Source organism: Homo sapiens, chromosome 11, assembly GCF_000001405.40.
Source record: "Homo sapiens chromosome 11, GRCh38.p14 Primary Assembly".
Lineage (NCBI taxonomy): Eukaryota > Metazoa > Chordata > Mammalia > Primates > Hominidae > Homo > Homo sapiens.
Window position 1 is genome coordinate 133,258,219 of NC_000011.10, and position 27,997 is coordinate 133,286,215.

Genomic DNA, 27,997 nt, shown 5'->3' on the forward strand with positions numbered 1-27,997 from the left:
GAACGACATCCAGTTTTGGAAGGCCACACACAAAGCAGTCAGTATAGAGTGGCAAAGATCTTTTTATTTCTGTGAATAGGGGATGTCAGGAGCTAATGAACATATTATCTTGGTAGGAAAGACTGGCTCTACAAGCTGAGTTTTATGGACAAGCATAATCTTCAACTCTTTGAGAATGGGTGGCAGGGCATAGGTGAAGGAAGAAGGGAAGGCTTGCCGATGAGCACGTGACCTACAGGCACAGTCTCTCTTCATCACCTTAGGGCGTGGCAAGGAATCCATTGTGACTTTGAACAAGAAGGTCCACCAGAGGTTATGATGATTGAGCTTCTACAGGAGGTTTTCCTGAGCATGGAAATGTGGGTTCCTTTCTTTCATTGCCCCACTTAGAGGTCACAGTTGCCAGTTGCCTTCCTGAGCGTTTGCCGAGCTGGGTCACTGGGGACTGCTGACAAAGACTTCTGCAAAGGCCTCCTGGGGCACAGGTCACTCTGTCACCGTGGCCCCCTCCCACTCACACCCATGGTTCTGGAGATCTAAGTACCCCCAGCTACCCCCAGCACTGCCAGGAGCCCTCACAGCCCAGGGGGCCCCACTCCACCCAGCCTGCCCCTGCCTGCCCAGAGATCTCCCCAGAGGCTTCTTAGAATGTTTCCTGGGCATCCGCTCTGCTTTTCAAGAAAAAAACTGCAGTGGAACAGCAGGGCCTGGCAGGCTTTGGATTTGAAATATGGATAATCCATTTGAAACCTCAAGGCCCGGGCAGAAGGAAACTAAAAATTAAATTAAATCAGAAGCACAAAATCTGTCTTCCTGGCTCTGAGACAGCCTCACCTCAGACTTTGAAAGTTAGAGTGGATAAAATCATAGTCAGAAATTGTTCAACCTTTCCTACCTCCCCCTTCATTTTATTGGTAGGAGAATTGAGGTGCAGTGACAGGAAATGACTTGTTCACGGTTCCAGAGACAGGAAAAGGAAGAGTGTTGTTTTGTTTTTATAAATAAACATTTTCATAAGTTAGGATGAGTTCTAACTACTCTTCAAGTGTTAATACATTTAATTCTCAATTCAAATTTATGGGCTTATATTATTAACCTCATCATTCACCTTCTCTAGTTTCTAGAAGTAAAGACTAAAGCAAAGAAAGGTTTAGTATTTGCTGAAGGCCACAGTTTGTAACTGGCTGAGTTAAGATTTGTACCCCAGCAGTGAGGTTACAAAGTGAATGCTTTTCACCCCTACTAGGCCACCCAGAACAGTATATTTCTTCTTGTAAAACTCTGACATTCAAAGTCAGTCCTGTCCTTGAAATCTGAGATGTAGAAACACAATGTGATGAAAATCCCAAGTATTTCCATCTAAGCACAAAAGCCTCTATCTATTTGGTAAGAACAAATTAATTCCCTGAATCTTTGATGCAAAAGTGAGAGAAGAATAGTAAAAACGAAATTATACTTTTTAAAAAATTAGAATTACAGTAAAAAATAGAATGTTAATTATGAAACAAATCTTATCTTGCTGAGAGAAAACCAAGGGCAAATGAGGGATACAATGAGATAAAGAGGACATCAATCAATGCTCTATGCCCTGGGAACATTTTTTGTATTTACTCATTCAATAGATATTTACTAAGCACCTTCTATGTCTAGGCACTACTCTCAGATTTGGGAATACGGTAGTGAACATAACAGACAACGTCCCTGTCTTCATAGAGTTTCCATTTAAATGAAAAGAAAGACAGACAATAGGCAAATAGAGAAATCAATCTGAATAAACAATATATGGGCATCGGTAACAAACCAAGAAAGGGAGATGGGGAGTTCTGGGATTAGGGATACGATTTTATGTAATAGGTGGATCAGCAATGACCCCCAAAATATAGTAGTGAGTCCTGTGGCTCTCGGGGGACAGAGTTTCAGGAAGAGGACAGAGCAATTGCAAAGGTCCCCAGACATGCTGGGCAAATTTGAAGAAGGTGGGAGCCGTGCATTGGGGCCAGTGAGTGGAGGGAAGGAGGTGAGAAGCCGGGGGAGGGGATCCAGTAGGGCTCTGGAGGCCATGCTCAAGGTTCTGGCTATTACTCAAAATGAGGCAGAAATGTAAGAGATGACATGGTGTACATTTGGAAACTGGCCACTGTGTTGAGACCTGACTAAAGAGGGTCTGAGGCTGGGACCAGGGGGCTATTGCAGAAATCCAGGCAGGGTGGCTTGGATTAGAGTGCCAACAGTATAGGTACTGATAAGGACGTACAGTCCTCAAAGGTGTTGAAGGTGGAGCTCTGGGATTTGCATCTGGACTGAATGTGGGGTATGGGAGTGGGAGTGGAGATCTAAGATCTAACTTTTTTTCAAGAAAAAATCTGCAGTGGAACAGCAGGACCTGGCAGGCTTTGGATTTGAAATCTGGATAATCCATTTGAAACCTCAAGGCCCAGGCAGAAGGAAACTAAAAATTAAATTAAACTAAAAATTAAATTAAATCAGAAGCACATCAGGAGTCGAGAATGACAGAAATTTCAGCCTGAGCTGATGGCTAGAGCCAGATTTCAGTTGCCATGACCACATCTGGAATCCACGTACTCTGCTTCCCCCAGCTCACTTGCTTTAAGAGTAAAAAGACTTACTTTCTTCCTTGATGCCTTAGTACATAGATTTTTTTTTTTCTGAAATAGACTAAGAAGAAAAGAAGAGAAACAAAAAAGGTGGAGGACAGAGGCAGAAGACTTCCTGGAACACTAATTTTTTGTTCTGGCATCTCCGAAGTGCAGCTCCAGGTGACCTGGCTACCAGCTCCATTTGGTTTATAAGGTCAGTTCTTTTGTCCATCTGACTTCCTTGGCTTAACAAAACAAGTGCTCAGAAACTATCTTCTTACTTGTTTTTGGATATCACATCAAGTGCTCAAGCTATATCACTTGATATAGTTTCAGATTAGAACCATTGCTAACTGCACAGAAAGCTTTTGGGTGTGGGACCCAGGCCTGAGACTACGTCACATCCAAATATGGCCACCTCTTGGATCTTCGAATAAGGAAACTTCCTCTTCATTCCTTAAGTGTCCACTTTCTGAGCTATGATCTGATTGACGGGTCTTGTAGCTCTCTCTTCCTTTAGAGACTGGAATGTCTGTCCCCCCCATCTTTCCAGTCTTGGGTTCTAATTCGAAACACTTTCAGTGGCTCCATGTTAAACACAATCATGATCTCTTCACCTCTGCTCAGCTGGCATCAGACGAAAGAGTGGTGAGGCTGGCACATGGTCTGCGTCCGGCTCTCTTCACTGCTGCTCAGCTGGCATCAGACGAAAGAGTGGTGAGGCTGGCACATGGTCTGCATCCGTCTCTACCTTTGGAAGCGCTTTCACCCTAGTCCTGTCTCTCAGATGACTCTGGGATGGGTGGGCTCTCACCATTTTTGTTCGCTGTCATATCCTCGGTGTATAAAGGAACAGCGCATAGTACATGCACAGTAACACTTGGTTGAAGGAAGAGAGGGTGGAGAAAGAGAGACGGGGAGGAGAGGGGGAGAGAGAAGAAATACATTATTCTGCTCTCCTCTACTTCAATTGCCTTCTTCTGTGAGCGGCACCCTCAGAGTGTGCTTCTGGCTGAGCGGTGGCTCTAGTGGAATGCAGCGGGCAGGAGCAATGGCTGTGCAGGCTAACCCAGTCATTAGGTTAACTCACTGCTCTCAGCCTCTGCCTGCCTTTGAGGGTTCGGATGTTCTTGATCTCATCCGGGCACCATTGTTCCTGTCCTGCCCTGCCGTGGGTGGCTCCAGCTACCTGACATTAAGCAAAGGGACTTTACTACTCTTGGCCTGAATTTTCTTTCTTTTTTTGAAAAAATAATTACTTTTAGTTGACAAATAAAAATTATATACGCTTTTGATGTACGGCATGATGTTTTGATATAGTATACATTGTGGCACAGCTAAATCAGGCTCATGAACCTATATGCATTATCTCACATATTTGACGTTTTTGTGTGTGGTGAAAACAATGCCTCCATTTTCCATAAAATCTAGTTAGTAATAGGATTCTCCCTTTAAAAATCTGTTCTCCAGGATAAATGGGCGAATGCATTCAGAATGCTTAGAAACATTCCTGGGTGTAGGATGCACCCAGTAAATATTAGCTGTCATTATCATGTAATGTGCGGAGCATGAGGTGTTTGTAGTACAGAGAAAAAGAGGAATGAGGAAAATGGAGAGACTGGGGCCTAACACCATCTAACAGGCATTCCTTTAACTCTCGCCATGGGATGGGAAATCAGATGTTAGATCCATTCTGCAGAGGAAAGTACTGAGACTGGGTGAGTTGTCATTACACCTAAAATCACACAGCAGTGAGCCGGCAGATGGATTCACACCTGCATCAATGGCCAGACACCCTTCCACTGTACCTACTGCCTTCTTTGCCAACGCTATGAATATCTTGAGCCCTCTCGTGTGGCTTCCTATCCAGGTCTTTCTGGCAAGCTCTTTGATGTACTTCCAGGATACCCTGACTGTGGAGTGGGAATGACATATGCAGAGTATTAGAGGGTCATTTTGGCCAAGGGCAGCTGACGGTGGAGTCCCCAGGAAGAGCGTGCAGGCTTGCAGGTGGATTGGCCCCTAGGAGATTCCAGCAGCAGAAAGTGGCGTGAGGACACTCACTCTACTACCAGTGGGGTGCCAGTGGGGCATCCCGAGATCAGCGATGTTCAGGAGAAATACCTAAAGAGAGCTGGGGAAGACACCCTAGACTTCTGGGAATAAAAGATGAGATGCCCCACTTAACCTTATCCCAAACCAATAATGCAAGCAGAAGAGTGGTCATGCAAAAGAAAATGCACAGAATCTGAAAACAAGTGGGTATGGTTGGACTGTGGCTCGGACATTTACCACTTATGTGACCCCGCACAAATAACCTAATTTCTTTGAACCCTCATTTTTTTCTCTTTAAAATGTAGATGATCAAAGACAATATCATCTATTGGACGAACTGTTTGCGGGGACTAAATTAAACAATTTATGTAAAGAAACAGACACTCAAATACAGTCATACATCATATAATGATGGCTCAGTGAACGACAGACTGAATATCAACAGTGGTCCCATAAGATTATATACTGTATTTTTACCTTTCCTATGTTTAGATACACAAATGCTTACCATTGTGTTACAGTTGCCTACAGTGTTCAATACAGTCACTGCTGTACAGGGGTATAACCTAGGAGCACTGTACAGTGTGTAACCTAGCAGCAGTAGGCTCTGCCCTACAGCCTAGGTGTGTAGTAGGCTGTACCTTCTAGGTGTGTTTAAGTGTACTCTATGGTGTTTGCACAGTGATGAAATTGTCCAACAGTGCATTTCTTGGAATGTATCCCCATTGTTAAGCAGTGTGTAACTGTAGTTACTATGCACTGGGTCCTCACTTGTTTCTCATGAGAGGCGTGTGTTTTGAATGAAACACCCGCCACTAATGGACAACTGGCCAGGGGTGTGACACAAGGACAGAATGTGGGTGTTTAGATTCTGCTGAACTGCGACAGACAGAGCCGCTCAAAAAGAGAAAACAGGAGCTAGAAAAAAATAACGGCATACTTCTTTTCATTCCCCACTCCAAAAATCTGCCATGTATTTTTCAGCCTTGCTACTTTCCAAGCTAAACGTGGAGTTATTTTGTAAAAGTTCTCCAGGCTCAGTTTGGGACCCAGGGACAATTCCCATTACACAGGCTGCTGTCTAAGCTCCTGATGTCACGTTTAAAATGGAACAGTGAAGGAATATTATTTTATCTTTTGTTCTTATCTTTCTATTTTATTCTCCCTTCCTGGACTCTGAAAAACGATTAAAAAATCCCACAGAAAATAAATATATTGATATTGAAAAACAGAAAGAAAAGTCAACCATTTGAGTTGCTGAGAGTGGCAGGTGCGTGAAATGTAAAGTCAGAGAAACAAGAAGAATAAGAATAAAGGCAAGGACCAAGGCAAGTTAATACCTGAAGGAAAGGAATTCCCAGGGGAAGCACTGATGCTGCGGAAAAATGACTCCTTCCAAGTGACGGAGACAACATATTGCAAATTATTACATGCAGGACAGGACGCTGTGGTTTCAGGAACAAGAGCATGTTCTCATCTCCTGGGCCTGATGAAGCTGACAAATACAATCAAAGCCTTTCTCAGTGAATTCTCAAGAGGGAAGTGTTCAGAAGGTGTTGCTGTCTTACAAGTGAGGCTAACTTGAGAACCCCCAACCATTTCCTTGCACCCAGCACAGACATGTGAACTCCTGGTATGGAGGGCCCTTCTCTAGGTCCTTGTCTGTTCTGCCCAACAGTCCTATGCGGTGAATGCACACTTACCCTCGAGGGAACCAGGAGTGAACTAACATGCTGGTGTCAACGAGAAATCAGAGCACATATGGCAATTTTATAAGAGCACTTAGAAGCAAGTGCAAACCTCAGATTCCTCAACTTTCAATCAACTCTATAATAATACCTCCTTTACCTAATTCACAGGGCTTTCAACAGAGAAAAATACACACAGCGGTTTTTAATAAAAAAAAAAAGTACGTGGTTATACATCTGTCATCAATATGTCATAATTAATCATAAATAGGGCATAGATCATTAAATAAACTAAGTACTTTCGGAGGGAGGGTTCTAATATTTGCTGCACGGAATAGTTAATTATGTGTTAGAGTTCTTCTACCACCTTTACAGGTTTAGTGGTTTTGTCTGCACTAGACATAGGAGTGAGGTAAAGCTTGGAGATTTTAAACTGCCAGGGTCCTACCGAGAGGCCTCGGGTCCTTGATGACTCGCTGCGCCGTGGGAATGGAGTGGGACAGTGAAATGGTGTGACACAGGGTAACTTTCTGGAGGAGAGGGACATAGTCCAGTTCTGTGACCAGCTGCCAGAGAGGAGTGGAGAGGAGAGAGAGGGACAGTTCCCAAGCGTCACATCTCCCTGCCGCTTCATCCTCCTGAAACCACTCATACTTGGACTAACTTGGAGGTTCATAGTGAGGAAGAAGTGGGGTGGGATGGTGAATCAACTAGCAATGTCTGACTCAGGGTAACGGGTGTGGGGACACAGCCACATAGCAAAGAGTCTGCCATCATACCAGGTTCTGCTCTGCAGGGTCTGATATATTGGCGTTGGCTATCCATTGATCAGCTCTGGGTGAAATGTGTCTTGAAAGTCTGATGGGCATTTCTATCTCTGCTACTGCAACTTCCTGTTTTCTGTCCTTCTAGAGAATGCAACATCAGGAGAGAGGAATGGATATTTGCTATCAATTTCTAGGGAAAGAAACTTACCATTAATTGTTTCTGACAAGCGCTTAAGAACACAACGTCCCTGAAAGCAAGACAAAGTGGGATTTGATTATTTTTGAAACAAGACGGAAGCCAGTGTTGGGGCTGTGTCCCCATCACAGTGGGGTTGGCTCAGCATCCCTCCTCCCGTCTGGGAGTGAAGATGTGTCTGAAGGAGTCAGGCTGAGTACCACAGACGCTGCCGGCGCTCCTCCCAGGTGTCAGATGATGACTGAGTAACAGACTCTGAGGAAACAGGCACTGGGATAAATTGCTGCTGCAGTCCCACAAAAACAGAAGGGGAAATGTGCCGGAAGCAATCAGGGCTTTTGAGAAACAGTGAGACTTCATGGCACATCTCTCAGCCAATCGTCTCAGATGGCTTTGCAGGCATCGGGTAATTAGTCCCAACAACTTCACTGTGAATAAAGTATTAATAGACCTCCGTTTACAAAAGGAGAAGGGGATGGAGAAATGAGGCACACAGGCCAAGAATCAAAATAGCAATTTGATAGCAACACTAGGAAAAAAAAAGTCAAGAAAATAGACATTAAATCTCAAGTCAGGGTAACCAATCCCAAGTCTTTAAAAACAAACAAACCTGTTTTGTTAAAGAAATACACAAGGCAATATAAGTCTTTATGCAAGAACCAGGACTTAGGGAACGAACTGAGGTGGCTTCCAATGCTTCCCTCCTTCAACCCCACCCTAGCACACTTTGGCTCCATCCAGAAGGAACTTTCAATTATTTGATTACCCCATTCTCCTGCTCATTTTCACTCCTTCAAACTTGCTGTCCCTGTAGCTGGGAGCCCTCACCAACCTCCAAGACCCCCAATCTTTCATGACTCCCACGTATCCTTTTGAGCTCCCCTTAGACATTCCCTCAAGGATCTCCCCCTGGTCTCTAAGTCTAGATTACATTTGCTTCCAGAATACACACTGTTCTTGCCCATCACAATCTTCATCATACCATGTTGTTGTCACTGCCATTTGGTATTTCCCACTAAAGTGTGTGGTCAGGAACTCATGTCTATCTTGCTCAGTAGTTACTCATCGGGACTTAGAACACTATCTGGCATGTATTAGGATCTCAATAAATATGTATTGAATGACTAGTTGGAGACAATTCTTGTCTTAAGGAAGCTTTCAATCTAGTGGGTAAGATAAATACATGAACACACAGTCCAAGGGAATGAGGATGGGTTGAGTATAAAGTATGAGTTAAAGTAGCAAGCTTTAACATTCCAAGCCAGAACAATGTGGTTAATACCATGGCATATGCTATTGCTTTCGATTAGAATCCCATCCTGATAGATTTTTCTGTGCTGGAGAGCTTCCCCAGCACAGAATAATGGATGTGATGAGATGTCCTCAGGGCAGGTGAGATGTCTACATGGAAGCTACCTTTTAAATTTAATCTCAGAGACTTGCCTGTCAATCTTTGGACAGATAAAGATCTTCAAGATACATCTCCTATGTTGTCTATCTTAAAGCAGAAGTATGATTCGGCACCTTGGGCAGATAAATAGTTGTTTGTTTCCCTAGAGAGGCTGTTTAGTATAACAGGAAGGACTTTGTAGGCGGTGGAATGCAATGTGTTGGAAAGAGTGTACATTTTGGAATTAAAATGACCTTGGCTCCAATCCCAGCTCTGCAATTTACTCGCAGTTTGATTTGGACCAAGTTACAGTGTCTCTGAGCGTCACACTTAGTATTGCTACAGAGTTGTACAGATTAACATTATATTACAGACTTGAGCCTCGGTAATTTTTATCGATGGTGTAAAATGGAAATGATTCAATTTCCCACCTCTGCCACATTCTAGCCATGTGCTCCTGAGCAAGTTTTCTGATCACTCCGAGCCTCAGTTTTCTCACTTGTAAGATGTAGACAATCAAATCCTCCTTGCATATCTACTGTGAAGATTAAGTGAGGTATGTATATAAAGTTCTTAATTTGGTACCTGCATCATAACAGGCACTCACTGAATATATTTTCTTGTCTTTTTGGTATTAAATATAATGGAATTTTATCAAATAATTGTTTTGCTGTGAGCCATGGTAGAATATGACTGCCTTCTGCCTTTTAAATTTTAACTCCCTGACATGGTTTTTCTGTGTCCCTACCCAAATCTCATCTGGAATTGTAGCTCTCACAATTCCCATGTGTCGTGGGAGGGACCCAGTGGGAGGTAATTGAATCATGTGGATGGGTCTTTCCCGTGCTGTTCTCGAGATAGTGAATAAGTCTCATGAGATCTGATGATTTTATAAAGGGCAGTTCTCCTGCACACGCTCTCTTGCCTGCCACCATGTAAGATGTGACTTTGCTCCTCCTTACCTTCTGCATGGTTGGGAGGCCTCCCCAGCCATGTGGAACTGTGAGTCAATTAAACTTCTTTTCTTTATAAATTATCCAGTCTCGGGTATGTCTTTATCAGCAGCATGAGAACAGACTAATATACTCCTTCTCTAGTTCATCCAGTAGGTGCAGTTCCTTCTGTGTGATCTCAGCCTCCCCATCCACTGATGTAACAATGGCCCTGACTATGTTTTTCCCTTTCTCTCTTTCCTAGCCCCAGTCAAGAATTTCTGGCAACCCCTCAAGGCCAGAGTGGACAGCCCTGGATATTCAGACCACATTTCAGGGAACTTCTTACATCCCACTGACTTTTCTGTCTTGACATTAATTTAGAAATCCAGTCACCAAACAGTTGGATAAAACATGTGTCATCTCATGCAACTGATAGAACAGTATCACCATTCAAGAGCTCTGATAAATAACTGAAAGGGACATTTCCATAAACATTCTTATTCTGTTCCTAACTGCAAGAGGATATTAGGTTGTTAGCATAAAATTTGCCTATTCAGCTTTCTGAGTCTACTTTATGAGGAGAAAACTGATTTTCTTTTTAGATACAAATATATTAAAGTTCACAATTAATTTAGATAACACCATGTGAGCTGATAATAAAATGTCTAGCAATTAAATAATGAATGCTAGGAAGCCATAGTCATCAGAGATAATCAGAATACACCTTTATTTTAATGATGTAAAATCAGTGTGTTTTCATATGATTTAATTATAGATTGACAGGAAAAAGTGCAAAACCATAGATTAACAATTTAAGGTAATGCATACACTAGAAACTGTTTCCAAAACTGTGATTAGTACTGAGCAAGTTAAATTCATCATCTTATAAAAGAGAATTTATAGATTTCAAATATAATAGCTTAGCATGAATAGAGATAGAAGACCTTTGAGTACGATATGAGTAGATAATTTTTCCTATAACATAGAATGAAGTGAAACTGCTAAGTAATGCACACATTTCTCTGAAGGCAGGTTTTGCCCATCATACTGTTTAGGCTTATAGTAGAAAACACTGGTCCCGAGGACTTACATCCATTGTAAAATGCAGACCCAACTATATCATGTTTTTGCACAATTCTAGGGGTACCTCTTTGATGTGTGCTCCAGGACAGCTGGTGGCCCTGGATCTAACAATATTCCACCTGTTCATAGAGACAATAAGATCTACAGGTTCAGATGGGGAGTCTGAGATGCAACAAAGACTCTTCAAGTTCTTCAATTAGGAAAGCCTCTTTATGTCTAAGAGTGATGCTACACTTCTCTGGGAAGAAGGGCATCTCTGAGCTCTAAATGCTTTATGTATCTGGCATTTTAAATAATACCACCAAATATGGGAGCCACTGAATTGATGAAATCACAAACTGGAAATTCCCCGAGAGTGAAACAAACAAACAAACAAACTTGGGTTCTGACATTCTGCAGAAAGCAGGTGTATATGACTGAACAGGGAGAAGGGACTTTCCTCAAAGAACCTCAGAGCCACAAGGTGCTTCTTTTCAGAGGAACATAGAACAGTTACTCTGGGGATTTCACGGACACCTTCTCACTCACTGATCTGGTCACATTCTGTACCCTAGTAGGCAGCCCAGATTTTCACATTGACATAGACTGAACTTTATTACTCATTTATTGACACAGACTGAACTTTATTACTCATGTTTTTTCTTTTTCTGGTTGAAAAAATGATGAACACTGTGAATTTCACTTAAAGCCACCTGCTACCCATTTCAGGCAATGGTAAAAACTAACATCAACAGGCTAGACAAAGTAGCCATGGGAGCTGAATTTCATTCCAGAAATGGACAATATCGTTAACATGCACTAAGAGCAGCAAACCATCTCTCTAACTAGGGAAGCATTATCGATAAGATTACCTTTCTGTAAGAGCAAGAAGAATATCCCATCATTTACTGCAGAAGAGAGTATTGTGCAAAGGTTTGGGCTAACCTCAGCACCCCTGTAGTTAAAGATCTTCATGATAATGAAAGAAATGAATAAAAAGAAAATGCTTCCAAGAGGTGTGATTTTATACATTTTATTCTCGTAGCTAGATAACTATGAGATATAACTTCAAAATACAAGAAGGCTTAAATAAAAGATGATACTTGGGAGCTCCTGCATGCCGACATTGGAATCTAATTCTCACATTTTAGTCTCCTGTCCTATTCATGTGGAGGTGCTAAGAATGACAGCAAAGACACCAAGAACTGATTACTTGCTACTCTGTTAATTTTTATGTTTAATTTCAAGTTTTGTGTTGTGTTTGTGTTGGATTGATTGATTGATTAATAGAAAACAGAGAGCAAACCTATTCTCTGGGCCCCATTCAGCACACTGTGGAGTTCTTGATACACTGCAAAATTCCCAGTGTTTTCTTCATGTGTCCTCACTCTATAAGCTTTAGCTAGATGGGAAATTATTCTGCTAGGGAGCTTTAAAATATCACACAGTTGGGACAAAGAAAAAAAAAACCATCTCTTTGTTCATCTGGAAAATGAGAAGGCTAGACAAATGATCCCTCTGGTCTCCTCCAAGTCTTAAATTCTCTATTTCTCTGATGCTTGGAGACATATAAGGGATTGTTTTAGGAAAGAAATACTAAGTACCAATGACATTTTTTGGCTTCCATTTAAAATAGATATCAAATACCTGTTTATGCTTTCAGATGTGTGCATTCCCATAGCAATTTCTTGTTCAATTCAACATGGAGGTACACTGGCTGACAGAGTGGAAACACTGTAAACAGGTGGTTTTCGTGGTTTATATTTTAACACTGAAAGGACTCAAAGAACCTCAGACAGCCAGGAATAGGAGAAAATATTTCCCTCCAATTAAATTGTTCCTATATATCCTAACATGCTTGCGACACGTGTGACTCATTCCAAGTCCAGAATCGTAGGTATGAGACAGTGAAAAGGACACTCTGCTTCCACCTGATATAGTCTCTGCTGTGCTACCAAGTTTACAGAAGAAGTATACAAGGCCCAGAGAGATTCACAGGGACGTTAGCCTGAGGAAGCTGTTGATTAAAATCAAGGCTACTGTGTCCTCGTTAAGGTCTGTGTATAGGATTCTGAATTGCTCCTTGAAGTAAATGCACCAATTCGACATTTATGCTGAGGCTGATGAGGAAGGTTACGCTGATCTAACACAGTAAGACATCAGACTTTGTGGCCAGGAATGCCTGGATTCATCATTTACTTGATGTGTGACTTCTAATGAGTTGTATACCCTTTGTGCGTCTAAATTCCCTACTCTATAAAATAAGAGGGTGATAATGCCTACCTCAAAACATTTTTATAGAGATTAAAAAGGGTAACATACATAAAGTATCTCAATATCCCAGAACCTGGCCCAGAGTAAACATCCACAAAATAATCATCCTCTCTTGCCATTTTCAAAGTGTTAAGGGATAAAGCACACACACAAAGCACTCTTCTTCAGTTCTCACCAGCTGGATCTTTGCCTGACATTGATAGATGTTGTCTGAATCTAAACTGAAAACATGAAGGTAGATGGGCCTTAAACACATTAAGGATCAACAATTTCAGTAGAATTAAATGGTAGGAAGAGAGGATATCATCATAGCCATCAATAATAATGATACTAATTAGCTTCCATTTAACAAGCACTTACTGTGTGTGTGGCACTATGATAAACACATGCATTGTTTCACTGAACACATACAACACTAAGAAATAGCTAGAGTTGTTCCTCCCATTTTACTGAGGAAGGAGCTAAAGCTTAGAAACTGATTGGTAGAACCAATATTCTCACCCCTATGCAATATCACCAGTCTATGACAGTGCTTCAAAAACTACTACAAATATAAAATTGCCACCAGAAGTATGCCAGCATAAAATTGCACAGATAGGCAGCATTGAATCCAAAATGACTTTCTCATTCATTTGTTTGTGCACTGATTTATTGTACAAAATTCGATGAGCACTTAGTATGCACTCGGCAGGATGCTCAATCCAAGGGTTATAAAGATAATCACATATAGTCCCTGCATCTGTGATGCTCAGAGTCTAACACACAGATGCAAACTAATTAAAATGATGCAACATAGTTGGGGTGGACACCCACTCACTGCCCTTTCTGTCCACACCACTGCAGGTATGCCTCTTGGTGCAAGCTCTCTGAGCACAGGGACAATTCCTGAAGGAAAGGAGTGCTTCAGATGCAGTAACCACCTGCACACAACAGTATCCAATGCAGAGATTAGCCCCTTACAAGAGGCTCATGTTTCTTAGCCCTTATACTGCTTGCTGTGATAGTTAGGGTTAGTAATAAATTGAAAGTTGAAGTGGTCTTTATTTAAGCAGTTGTAGGATATTTGGACTAAAAAAAAAAAAAAAAAGAAAACTGAAAGATAAATGCAATTTTCTTGTAGAACAAGAAAAAAATCTAACAGCCCAGAATATCATGCAAATTGCAGTTATTTATTATCAGACAGTGCTGTACAGCATTATTGACTAAATAAAATGCACTGCAATAAGACCCACAAAGCACTATATTATGAGGCATATATCAGGATGCAGATTTTTTCATATACAGAACACCACCTCGAAACAGTATTCCCTGTCAGGGAGTTATATTTCTATCTCTGAGCAGGCCTGAACCCTGTGTCCCTTCTGGCCACGTGAAAGCCATGCTCCTTCCCCTCTGGGCCGGCCCGGGGACGCTCGGGGCAGGGTATGAGGCAAGAGAAAGGGACCCAAGAAAGGGGCAGGAGGAGGTGGATTGAGGGTGGTGGACAAGGCAGGCCTGCACATGCACCATTGTGTGCTGAGAATACATCTTTCTTATTTTACCAAACTCACAAATACATATCAATTTGTTCCCTTCCTCAGCTTCAATGCATTTCTTGTTAAGGAACATCTCTTTGAGAAGAAAGCCTCTGACAGAATATCCAAGCACAAAGGAATGATCCAGACCCGGAGAAGCCAAGTTTCTACGAAGTGAGGAGTCAGCAGGGGGCAGAAGAAATGTTATTGCTTTCACTCCTTGTTGGAAAATTACGGGCCTTCTTTTAAATCAAAATTTCTCTTTGCTCTCAATAAGATGACAGTCTAGAACACTTGACCTGCTGCTGAGAGAGTGACTTCTTGCTGGGTTTAGATTACTCAAGAGCTCTGCATTTAATCTCGGAAGGCTGCCAGGGGTTTCAAGGAGAGCTGGCAGAGCACCAGATAGCAGCCACCCACTGAAAGTGGATGTCCCTCCCTAGGACGCACGACTATCCTATTTCATTTATTCTAGCTGGGGTCAAAGGACACATTCAAACCAGCACCTTCTCTTAGGCACCTGAGTGAACCAGAGGGATGGGGAGGGGTTATGAGGGAAGAAAATGTCCTAGGAGCAAGGTGGGAAGTGTACCAGGCCTCTGGACTGCAAAAGCGACCCCTGTGAGCCAGCAGGGTGCACACCCAAGAGCCAGTGAGGTGCTGGGGGCCGGGAATCAGCTCCCATGGCACCCACCAAACCACACTTCCAAGTCCTGCGGCATCCTGAGGAGCTGAGGAACTGACCCCACAGCCCTCAACAAGTTCCCACCATCTCATTAAGCCTCTCCATGAAAGGTCAAGATTGTAATAGTCTGGGCCCATTATGTTCTTTCTCTCGCAGAACCAAAGTTCAGGAGACAGAAGCTTTTTTTTTCTTTTGGCAAAAACTATGTTTTAAAATTAATCAGTAAAAATTCTTCCTGGATTTTCAGTAGTCCCTCAAGGGATCTGCTAAGCCAGAAGCTGAAGAGAGATGGCCTCTTCCTTCCGCAGGAAGAAGGAGCCCTCTTGGAGCCCTCTTTCCTAAAATGGGGGCCACTTCCTATCCAGAGGGCCCTCAGTCTTGGCAATGGTTGACTGCTTTAAGAGGGAATTGTCGCATTGCAAGCCAATGTCCGTCATTATCAATGGAATCTTTCAATCAGGAAAAATCTCACGAGTGTGAGGAATTGGAAGACCATGGGTGACATCTGCAGTGTGCATAAGTTTAATTATTACTACTTTGAAATTCGTGTGTTAGACCTTTCAAAAGCACACAATAACATCATGATATAATTTTTACTATTATACATGTAATATACAAATATATAAACATATTTGCACACATACATATATTTATCTATCTAGTTCTATCTATATCTATATCTGTATTCAGCACTAAGGCGAGTACACACCTGTTTGTTCAAATGCTGTCATCCCCACAGCCAAAGTCTTAACTGGTGCTAGTTCCCAGAATCATTTATTCACATGTTCATTACTGAGCACTTGTCATGGGTTGAATTGTGTCCTCTCATCCTCCCAGAAAAGCTGTGTTGAAGTCCTATTACCTGGTCCCTCATACCATGAACTGATTTGGCTATAGAGTCTTGGCAGATGTGATTAGTTCCTGTGCGGTCATACTGGAATAGGGTGGGCCATTAATCCAATATGGCTCGTAAGAAAAGGAGAAAAGACACAGAGACAGAGACGTGTGAGGGAAGAAGGTCCTGGGACAACAGAGGCAGGGACTGAAGTGCTGAGCCCACAAGCCAATGAACACCAGGATTTTCAGTGAAACACCAGACATGGGAAGAGTCAAAGAGGGGTTCTCCCCTGTAGGTTTCTGAGGCAGCATGGCCCTGCCAGTGCCCTGGTTTTGAACCTACAGCCTCTGGCCCTGTGAAACAATCACCTCGAAGTTCCCTGGTTGTGGTACTTTGTTATGGGAGCCCTGGGAAACCGGCACAGCCCCTCGGTGCTGGGCTTGGGGAGGGTGCGTGACTAAAGTGACTGCCCCAACTTCCAGGAGCACAGGGTCCAGTTGACCCTACGGCCAGGCGGCCTCTATGTTACCATCCCATCTTCAGTCACGAGCTTTTACAAAGAATTAATTAGTCAAGTTTAACTGAGTTCTCCCTTGGAATTTCTCCTTCAAATGCTGTAGAAGACAAAGAGACAGAGAGATAAACGCAAAGTACAGTTCAGCTGGAAAGCTCGAGACCTGCCGTTTCTCAGGAATCCCGGGTGTCGTTTATATTAATTTGCCTTTGGGACTTTTAGATTTTGTCTTTTAAGTGGATGTCTCTTATCCTTAGGGTTAGAGTGACAGCTATGATTTTAGATGAACATTTTTGGGTCTGGCCACAATTAACAATTAAATTGATTTACTGACAAGCACCCTTCAGTTTCCTGGTGAGTTTGCTTGGCAGAATCCCAGCAAAGGGGGTGGGAGGCTGGGTAAATATTGGGTAAATTGGATCAATTGTCCACAGCCTACCTGGGTTGAGCCAACTGGAAGATCCTTTTTTTCTCAAAAAAATATGTATTTCCTGCATAACCTAGATATCTTGTAACAGAAATTCTCAGACTTTCGGGGTTTATAGATCAGTAAAATTTAAAAGAAAAGAAAGGGCAGAAGTTAGGTGCCAATTTTTTTTTATTTTGCCAAGTAACAGTGTCTACTTCTTCTCATCATTAATTCTTAAAAACTAAGGGTGCATTTTAATTCCATAGAGAGAGAGGATATAATTTCAGAAAGGACAGTTGTTGACATGATGGCTCCCTCTGGCTTTGTTCTCCCAATTGTTTTCATTCCTCACAGGCGTGGGACTTCATCATGGGCCAGCATCATCATGGGTCAGCATTTTGAAACCACTGACCTAGAGAATGTTAACACTGTCCATCTTGCTTTGCCTCTACAAATACAGACATGAGCTCTAGCCCCCACCAGAGAATGACAAGTTGAGATTAATATGCCACAGTTGAAAATATTAACCTCTCTCTGCTGGACACTAAGAGCACAGAAGCTGCAGATCTATTTATTCACCACTGTGTCCCTAGCACCCAGAAAGGCGCCTGGCACATGGATATTCAATAGACATTTGTTCAGGAGTGGACAGAGGGCATTATATGAGTAATTGTTGGAGCTGCTACCATCTCCTTCCTTGACTCAAACCTGTGTCATTACACCACTCAAACTCTTATCTTTTTTATCCTCACATATTTTATGCTGTCTCCTCCTGCTCCTCATCAATGACTGAATGTATTCATTCAATGTTGAAGTTGTCCACATCCCCACTAAGGGTAATGACAAAGAAAACAAAAAAAGAGAGATGGTTAGAAAATGAATCGTGGCCAGAGACCCAAAAATAAATTAATCCCTAGATTCAGTATAAAAAATGACTTCCCAGAAATCAGCAACAATTTGGGGATATACAAACCATGGAAAATATGTCTTTCTTTTGCAGGAAATATTTTTTATTAGTGGCAAAGAGGGAAAATGAGGGAAAGATAGAATCGCTGGGTTTCTTTGTTTCTTTCTTCTTTATAAAGAAAAATTTAGACCTAAGCATATTTACAGGTAGAAGTAAGGAATCGTGGAAGAGATTGAAGATTTACAAGTGGGAAAGAACAGAGAACCTGAAAGAGCTGGACGAGCCAAGAGCAAGGGAGAAAAGGAAGAGGGGCCAAGTGGGGAGGTTCTTCAGACTTCACTCTCAGGAGTAGGCAGTGGGGTCAACTCTCAGCAGGAAGGATAGAGGGTGAGGTTTGCAACAGCCATGCACACAATGCAGGAGGGAGCAAAACCTACCCAGATATGGCGATATGATTTGGAGCATACTTGTTAATAAAATGTCGGTGCTCCATATACATCCAAAAGCGTAATATTGAAAAACAGATTCTGACCTTGGCAGCTCTGACATGCTGTACAAATAAAATGAAAAATGTGAAATTATTTTGAAATCTAATGATCAAATCTAGAGACCTTTTCTTATATTCCATTTTTCTCGATCTCTCTGGAGTATCTGAAACTGTTGGTCATCTTCTTCTTGAAATGCACTTCTCCCATGATGCCAATTCTATTAGACCACCCGAGTTTGTTTTTATAACTTCTATGACAGTTCTTTTTCTTTATCCAACCCTTCCCCAACGACTTTGCCCCAATTATTTTACTCTTACTTAAGATCTTTGAAAGACTTCATCCATTTCAATGGCCTCACTTATTTCTTCTGTGCAGAAGACTTACAAATGTTTCTGAAATTTCAGACATAGTTCCAATAGTTTATAGATGGATAAATACAGATATAGATGTCCTGTCGGTATTTCAAATGTATCGACTCTTTTACGTTAGCCACAAACATATTCTACTTCCTTGCATCCTTAATTTTGTTTACTGCAACATGCTCAGAATCCTCCCCTCCCTCTCCAGGCTCAGCTACTCAGGAGACGAAGACTTACTCATCCCAGACTCCTTTCTGTCCTTGAGTCACTCCTTACTTCCAAATATGTGTCACGTCCAGCCATCTACTTTTAGCCCACGACTAGTCCCCTAACTCAGACAGCACAGATGCAGTCAATTTGCCTCCCTGTTCTGAAGTTCTTGTTTTCTTAACAATTTGGTTTTCGGGGAAGAAAGAAAATGTGCCAATTGGTTAACATGAGTCATTGAGAGTCAAACATTTTATAGAAAATAAAACTCATTCCTTCAGGTGTAAAAAAAAAACACCCACAAAACAAACATTTTAGGCATCTATGCATTCATTAATTTATACATTAGTTTAGGCATTTGGGTTTCTTCCAGACGAAGTTAAAATCTCATGCAGAAAAAGTGCTGCAACACCACTGTTGCTGTTGGGCCATCTGAGCCTGGACAATGGCCTCTTCCACTTCCAGATCATTCACCTTTAAGTCACCTTTAAGTTACGCGAGGCCAGGTGAGCAGGAAAGACAACTGAATGATTCCTTATCATATGTATTCCTTTCAGATCCAGTACATGTATCCAGTGTATATATACATATACATATATGTGTGTGTATATATGTATGTGTGTGTATATATATGTGTATTACAGACCTTGACAATAACAGGTGCTTAAATATATATATATGTATAATATACATATAATGTATGTAACATAAGTACTTTGCTCATCTCGTCAGAAACCCCATAAGATAGGCATTATTGTCCCCGTTTTGTAGGGGAGGAAAATGAGACTAGGAGACACGGAGTAACTAGTTGCCCAAGGTCACTCTGCTAGGACATGGCAGAGGCAGGATTGAAGCATATATCCTTGCTCCAGGTTAATGGCTATTTCTGGAATGCCTCAGCAGCCCTTTTAAATTCTGTGGTCTGTAAGTGAGATTCTATCAGCACTGGAATTCTGAAAGTGAGCCGGGGACACCTTGGTCTGGATATCCGTTGTCCCACTGTAGCGTATGTTCAGCCTCCACCATGACGGGCTCTTTTAAGCCTGCTTGAATATCAGGCTTGGATCTCTTGGCATGGGAAGCACCCAAATGCCACAACTACAGAGAGTGACACCATGAGTACTGATTTCTGTCTTCAGCTCCCTATGAAAACCAGCCCAAAGACAGCTGGAAATGAAGAAAATGTGCAATGATGAGGGTTTTGGGGTTTTCTTTTTCTTTTTTAGGGGGGGTTATTGTTTGGTTTTGCTTTCCCTCAAAAAGCTTAAGGTTCTTTATAAATCTCTTTCTTTACAGATACATGAGAATGAAAAGTAATATCAATGAAAGGATAATTCTATAAATACGTGGGGCCAGTGGCATTTGATGCACCTTTCTCACTGTCAGCTTGGACTCATTCTTCTCTCATTACGTTCTTATGAGGGAATCTCTGCTTACTTATTTGTGTGTCTATGGTTGGGGGAGTGGGAAGTGAGAGGGCATATATAAGAGGAGGAGATTGAGATGAGAGGCTATACTACTAGATGTGTGAGTTTCATACTGCAGATAGTAGAAAGCCCAATTTTAGCTAAAGATTCAAGCTATATTCTCTAATTTAATACAAGTAGCAACAAACCTCATCTTTTTATTTGTTTGATTAAAAAAAAAATCTGTCAGCCACCTACTCAATTGATTCCAGATTCAGTGTTGAGGAATAAAATGGTATGGTTAATGGTCCTACCTCAACTCTCATAGAAATTCCATGAAGTCTATAAAGTCTATATTATCTCCATTTTACAGATGAGAAAACTGAGACTTCCAGACTTTAAGTAACTTGACCACTTTCATGCGCCTAATCAAGAGGAGAAGAGGAATTACATCCCGAGCATGTTCAACTCCAAAGCCTGTGCAATCACCCGCTGGATTAACAAATGCTAGCGCTTAAACCTGGGTGATTTCACAGAATCAGGGTCTTGTTCTCCAGACCTTGCCACTAGTAGTCCACGGCTAATAGGAAGAACTGACAATAGAACCTCGCTGTTTCCAAACCTGGGCTTTCAGTCATTTGACAGTAAATAAGTAAGCAGCAATCTCCCCTCCTTGAATGCATTCACACAGATAATTTTACATGTCACCAATCTCCCCATCTCACAAATCGTCATCATGTTGTGGTTAAATGATCCCCGGTGCTCTGATCCTCTCAGAATAGGTCATTTCTTTTTCAGGTCTTTATTCATGCTACAAAATGCCTGATGCTGCTCTCTGAAAGCACAGAGGTATGGCCAGGGTTCAGTGCTATGAGCCTCCCAAGCAACCATGGGCAGCTTAGCACAAATGGACCTACAATCCAACATTAATTTCCTGTCTTCCAGTCTGAACACTCCTGATAAGCAGCCGTCTGGCTAAAGACCGTAGGCAGAATCAGTCTCTGGTCTTAGCAAACTCACTACTTTGTTCCCCTCTGCCAGAGTTCCCTGCAGCTGCAGTTGCCCAGAGCTAAGGACACCTCTCAGAGCAGTTTTCAGACACGGCCCCTTCCTCTCACCACCTCCACCCCATGCCCGGCTGCTGCTGGTGTCTCTACCAGCCTGGCCATCCACCTCTTCAGAGAATCTCAATGCATTATTGAAATATGTCTTCCCACAGCAGGCAGAGAAATGAAAATTTCTCTTATTTCAATTATTTCCCTTTCTTAAGCAGAGAAATAAAAAAAACTCTACCCATAAAGAATAAAAAAGGAATCCAAATTATTTTTAAATTTATTTTTCTCTCAAGATTTAGTAGATAGTGGTGTAAATACTGGTGCAGGAGTTAATTGGTTATTTGTGAGGAAATAATGATAGAGGCAATACATGTGCCTCTCTTCTTCAGCCACTCCCCCAGCCCTCAATCCAGATAAAAATAAGAGCAGGACTAACAGGATGAGAAGTAGATTTGGACAGGGAAGAAGTATTTATTGAACCTAAACAGTTGCATTGTGTATGAGCATTGGGAGTGCAGAGTGAAGATGGATATGGCCTCTGTTCTCAATGAGTTTATAATCATCAGGCAAAATAGTTGTACCCTCCTAGATTTGCATATAAAACCACTCTCTCTGTTTCATTGTATCTTTCCATTTACTTAAGCCTTGCAAATAAATTCTGTCTCTTTACCAGCCTGTCCTTTTCTCTCCTTAGAAAGAGTATGTTCAGAATTTTGCATGATCTTAGAAGTATTTGTGGCAGTGTGAGAATACAAACACCATTAGATGTTGCAGTAGGAAAAAATGTTGAGCAGGAACCACTCAGAATTATTCTTCACCTCTGGCAGGGGAGAAAGTGGTTTGAATGAACTAACAGATCTTCTGTCACCTCAGCTAAAATTTCAACTGCCAGATTGCTTTCAAGGAACACTTCATTAGGGACACCTACTCTGCCCTCCCCATTTTAAATTTCAAGACAAGATCAAATCCCCTAACATTTGCGCATATCTCCAGAGCAACACCTAACATTGGCTCTGTTGACTGTCAATTGCTTGAGGTACTATGTGTGAATAATTGCATGTCCTGTGTCTTTTAGCAGGATATTCATATGCATTTCAGGAAGGGGAGGAGACAAAATAGTAACAGTGCATATGGAATATGACATTGTTGGTAGAAGCTGGTACCCTGGTTGCATAAAAACAATGAGGCCTCTTAGATCTTTCTTGATCCATTATATCGGCAAGGGATATGATGTTAAGAGTGGCATTTCAAGAAAGTGAGGACTTCTTGTGGCTTGGGATCAACCGGTAACCAGAATGGCAAATGGTGAGAAAGAAAGTTTTTATCAAGAGCAATGAGAGAGTAGTGGCTAAGTACTGCCCCTTGGTACCTTTCCTCATTGTCCTAACGTTCTTGGGCAATGTTCTCGTCCCTTAGGGAAGATTATCCCAACCTGGTAGCTCAAGAGTTTCAACAGAGGCACTGGAGAAATTGTCTGAATAAGAGAACTGCCACTGTGGGCTGATCTGTCCTGCAGACTGTCCCTCACTGGGCATCACCCCTCGCTCTAGAGACACTTTGGAAGCTTGGAAAGGGGGAAGCCCTGCTTAAAGAGACAAACCATGGGTCCATCTGATATGGTGATATGGTTTGGATATTTGTCGCCTCCAAACCTCATGTTGAAATATGATCCCCAATGTTGGAGGTGGGGCCTGGTGGGAGGGGTTTTGATCATGAGGATAGATCCCTCATGAATGGCTTGGTGCTGTTCTTAAGGTAATGTGGAGTTCTTGCTCTGAGCTGATGTGAGATCTGGTTGTTTAAAAGAGTGTGGCATTCCCCCACATCTGTTGCTCCTGCTCTTGCCATGTGACATGCTGGGTCCCTGTCACCTTCTGCCATGACTGGTAAATTCCTGAGACCTTCACCAGAAGCAGATGCAGAACCATGAACCAAGTAAACTTCTTTTCTTTATAAATTACCCAGCCTCATGTATTCCTTTACAGAGATGCAAAAATGGACTAACACAAAAACATTGGTACCAAGGAGTGGGGTGTTGGCATAGAGATGCCTGAAAATATGAATGTAGCTTTGGAACTGGGTAACAAGCAGAAGTTGGAAGAGTGTAGAGGGCTCAGAAGAAGACAGGAAGATGAGGAGAAGTTTGGAACTTCTTAGAGACTGGTTGAATGGTTGTGACCAAAATGCCGGTAGAAATATGGACAGTAAAATCCAGACTGTCAATGGTCTCGGGTGGAAATAATGAACTTATCGGAAACTGCTGTAAAGGTCACCCTTGTTACACCTTAGCAAAGAGCTTGACTGTACTGTATCCGCACCCTAGGGATCTGTGAAAGGTTGAACTTAAGAGTGACAACTCACAGTATCTGGCAGAAGAAATTTCTAAGTAGCAAAGCATTCAAGAAGTGGTGTGGCTGCTTTTAATGGCCTAGAATCAGGTTTGGGAACAACAACAACAACAAAAAAAAACTTAAACTAGTAACTTATATTTAAAAGGGAAGCAGAGAGTAAAAGTAAGTTTGCAGCCTGGCCCTGTTGTAGAGAAGGAATCTAGACAGGTTGTGTAGCAACCACTTGCTAGAGAGATTAACATGACTAAAAGGGAGCCAAGGCATTTCGAAAGTCTTTGGAACGGCCCTTCCCATCACAGACCCAGAGGCTTAGGAGAAAATAATGGTTTCAGGAGCCAGGTCCAAGACCCCACTGTCCTGAGCAATCTCCAGACACTGCTCCCCACATCCTGGCTGCTCCAGCTCCAGCTGTGGCTCTAAGGGCCCTAGGTACAGCTCTGACCACTACTCCAGAGAGTGCAGGCCATAAGCCTTGGCAGCTTGCACATGGCGCTAAGTCAGCAGGCTCACAGAATGCAAGCATGAAGGAAGCCTGGCAGCTTCCTCCAAGATTTCAGAGGATGTATGGGAAAGCCTGGGTGCCCAGGCAGAAGCTTGCCACAGGGGTGGAGCACTCACAGAGAACCACCACTAGGGCAGTGCAGAGGGAGGGGAAATGGGGGGATGAAGCCCCCATGCAGTTTCCACCAGGGAACTGCCTAGTGGAGTTGTGGGAAGAGGGCCACCACCCTCCAGCCCCCAGAATGATGGAGCCATGAGCAGCTTGCCTCTTGAGTCTGGAAAAGCCATAGGCACTCAACTCCAACCTGTGAGAGCAGCCACAGGGTCTACACCCTGCAAAGCCACAGGAGCAGAGTTTCCCAAAGGCCTTGAAGCCCACCCATTGTACCAGTGTGGCTTGGATATGGGACATGGAGTCAAAGGAGATTATATTGGATCTTTAAGGTGTAATGGCTGCTGAGTTTGAGACTTGTGTGTGGCCTACTGCCCCTTCCTGTTGGACAATTTCTCCATTTTGGAACAGGAACATTTACCCAATGCCTATATCATCATTGTGACTTGGAAGTAAATAACTTCGTTTGATTTTATAGGCTCATAGGCAGAAGAAGATAAGTCTCAGATGAGACTTAGGACTTTGGACTTGATGTTGGAACGAGTTAAGGCTTTGAGGGACTGTTGGGAAGAGGTGACTGTATTTTGCAATGTGAGAAGAACATGATATTTTGGGGGGTAGGGAAGGGGCAGAATAATGCAGTTTAGATGTTTATCCTTTCCAAATCTCATGTTGAAATGTGACCTCTAATGTTGCAGATGGGGCCTGGTGGGATGCATTTCAGTCACGGGGGCAGATCCTGCATGAATGGTTTGGTGTCTTCCCCACCGTAATGAATGATAATGAGTTGTCTACCATTACCAACCACGATATTTGGCTATTTAAAAGAGTGTGGCACCTCCCCCACCCCTTGTTCCTACTCTTGCCATGTGACACGCCTGCCCCCACCCCACCCCACACTGCTTAGCTCTCTGCTGTGATTAGAAGCTTCCTGAGGCCCTTACCAGAAGCTGAGCAGATATTGGCACCATGCTTCCTGTAAAGCCTGCAGAACTAGGGACCAATGAAACCTCTTTCCTTTATAAATTACCCAGCCAAAGGTATTTGTTTACACTGACACAAAAATGGACTAATACATGTGGTCATCCTCACAGTTAACATTCTAACTGTTCTTGGGGCCAGATGGGTTTGCCCTTTAGCACAGATCAAAGAGGAATGCCAACCCCAAACCACAAGGTAACTCCACCAGATAAATTTTAAAATAGAAGTTGGGGGAATAGGCCCCGGTATATGAGGTTCATTTTGCTGGAGGTAATGTTTTGGGATAGTTCTATGGGCTTCATGCCTTAGAAAACCCACTTTCTAGTCTGTGCTCAGCTCCACATACCTGTGAGCCTTAAGAACACCCACCAGTTTCCAGCGTTTCTTTTACTCCTTTCTAAATTGAGGAGCTGGCCTGACACTCTCCTGGATCGCTTCCCCCCCCAGTACCTAAAAGTCAAGCCCTAAAACACCTTCTCACTTTGTCACTTTCCGCCAGCAGTAATCAGCCAAGCTCTTTTACCAAAATGGAGAATCACTGGAAATATTAACAGAAGAGGTCAATATATTGAGCCGTGTGGCCTTTTCCTGTTCTGAGAATATTTCATGTCTTTATGTTCTTACATTGAGAAAAACCTGGTCTGTGCCAATCTACATCAAATGGAAAGGGGAGGTAAGAGGGAGGATAAACCCAAACCCAACCTGTACCGTGGCTCTTTCAAATGGCAGGCTCATTACGACCCAGTGCCTGACAGCCTCAGGATGGCCTGTCTCGTCAGAGGCCCCTCTGGCTGTTGCAAGCTCTTACACACAACTCTGTGTCACGAGAATCACAGCAGGTCTTGGCAGCGGACACTGAAAATGTCAGAAAGCAAAAGCGGGTGTTTGGGAGAAGTCATTGTGAGCTGGGAGGAGCACTTGCAATGTTTGCAGCACATACAAAACAATCAACAACAAAAAAACGACCTGCCTTCTTCGTGAGACAGCACAGGTGAAAAGGAGGAAGACAGAGATGGGAAGGGAAGGGCGGCAACAAATGGGAAGGGAGTCGGACTTTTACTCAAGAGAAACTGGGATACTGGGAATTTGGCCTCATTCATTTACCTGGCGTTTTACTTATTACCATCTTGTGGTACTAGGCACAGAAAATAGAAGTGTGAATGAGCAACAGTAGCACACTGCAGAGTAAAGACCACTGGCCTTAGAACAGAACATACATGTAAGTCTCGGTTTTTAGCATTCACCAGTTGTGATTTTGGGTAATGAAAACACTCAGAGCCTCAGGTTCATCATATGCAAAATAGGGATAATAATAGGTCTTATGAAATAATTTAAAAATTTAAATGAGCTGTTATAAGTAAAATGCCAGCCACATAGCAGGAATACCCCAAATGGAAAAAGGTAGACATGGTTCTTGCTCTAGGAGAACTTGGAGTCTGGGGGCAGTGGGGGTGGGGTGAGGGGTCTTATTTGTATGCTGCAATTACTTACAACTCTATATGTTACGAGATACATAAACAAATCAAATCAGAACACAAGAAGTGGGGTAACTAATTCTCCCTAGAGTAATGAGAGACCTCATGAGGAAGGGAAATAAGGAGAATTCTAGATGAGAACCCAAGACACGGAAGAGTATATGTGAAATTAGAGGGGTGAGTCAAGCAAGGTGTGTTTGTCCCATTTAGAAGACGTCAGTGGCTGAGCACAGGGTATGTGGGGAGGAGGGACATGCAGTGAGCTAGATGAAGCTCAAGGCACGAAGGGTCACACGTGGCAATTTAAGTTATCTGACTTCCCCTACCACAGGTAATGACCAACCACTGAAGTCTTTTTCAGCCCTGTAGTGACCTTAGAAATATAACTCAGCTGGTATTTGGAGGATAAATTTGAATGGGAGCCGGACTGGAGGACAATCTTAGGAGACCCGTACGTGGGGAATCTTTGTTGTGCCGGTCTGTTTTAGTTGCTGTGATCCATTATAATGCTTCATTTGAAATAGTGTCAGACCTAACGAAGGGCAGTGGCAGTGAGAATAGAGAGGAAGGGTAATAACAAAGGCTCAGACTTCAGCTGTTAAAAGGAGCCAGCTAGGGAAGGAGTGCTACGTCTCCAATTAACTGTGACCCATTTCTGACAATGCTGCTCATTAACATAGCTTTGTTTACCTACATATTTTAGAACTATTCATAAACTTTAAGAAACTTCTTTTCAGCTGAGTAATGATTTAACTCCTTAAAGAAGGTGTATGAGATTTTGCCATTTTGTAGAATCTCTCCTAACTAATGGAAGCATATTGGTATGCTGAGTTCCCACCCTCTGTAAGGCCCTGCACATTCTGTAAGGCTGCAGTACAAAGATGTGAACAGTAAAACGTATGGTCCTGCCTGGTAGGAGTTGACTGATTCATTGGAAAGACATAAACATACACCAAGTGCATGGAGCAGTTCAAAAGATAACTGACAACTCAAAACAATAGTACAAGTCCCAAAAAAATATGGAGAAAGAGAAATGATGGAGAGGCAGGCTTCCTTGAAAGGGGGAGACAAGTCAGGGTGTTCAAGGGCAGGTAGACTTGGATAGAACCAGCCTCCTTCTGCCCCACCCAGCCCCTGGCTTCTAAATCCATGTCTCCAGACACACTGTGGAAAAGTATTCACCTTGCTGGGCGCGGTGGCTCACGCCTGCAATTCCAGCACTTTGGGAGGC

General features: G+C 42.6%; 1 protein-coding gene and 1 long non-coding RNA gene across 5 annotated transcripts in view, besides 1 other annotated feature; both read right to left on the reverse strand.

Annotated features, from left to right (window-relative positions):
* Window positions 1–27,997, reverse strand: part of OPCML (opioid binding protein/cell adhesion molecule like) — a 1,117,521-nt gene that overhangs the window by 843,238 nt on the left and 246,286 nt on the right. The gene's annotated exons all lie outside the window — the stretch shown is intronic.
* Window positions 45–27,996, reverse strand: LOC124902796 (uncharacterized). Its single transcript, XR_007062959.1, has 2 exons — window positions 18,269–27,996; window positions 45–17,754 (listed from the first exon to the last, which is right to left on the reverse strand). It is a non-coding gene; the product is annotated as an uncharacterized LOC124902796 (long non-coding RNA).
* Window positions 10,977–11,266: an enhancer, noted in NCBI's record as "active region_5766". NCBI's record gives its function as "activates an Ori minimal core promoter by ATAC-STARR-seq in GM12878 lymphoblastoid cells {active_cell/tissue: GM12878}" and the evidence as "EXISTENCE:reporter gene assay evidence [ECO:0000049][PMID:35858748]".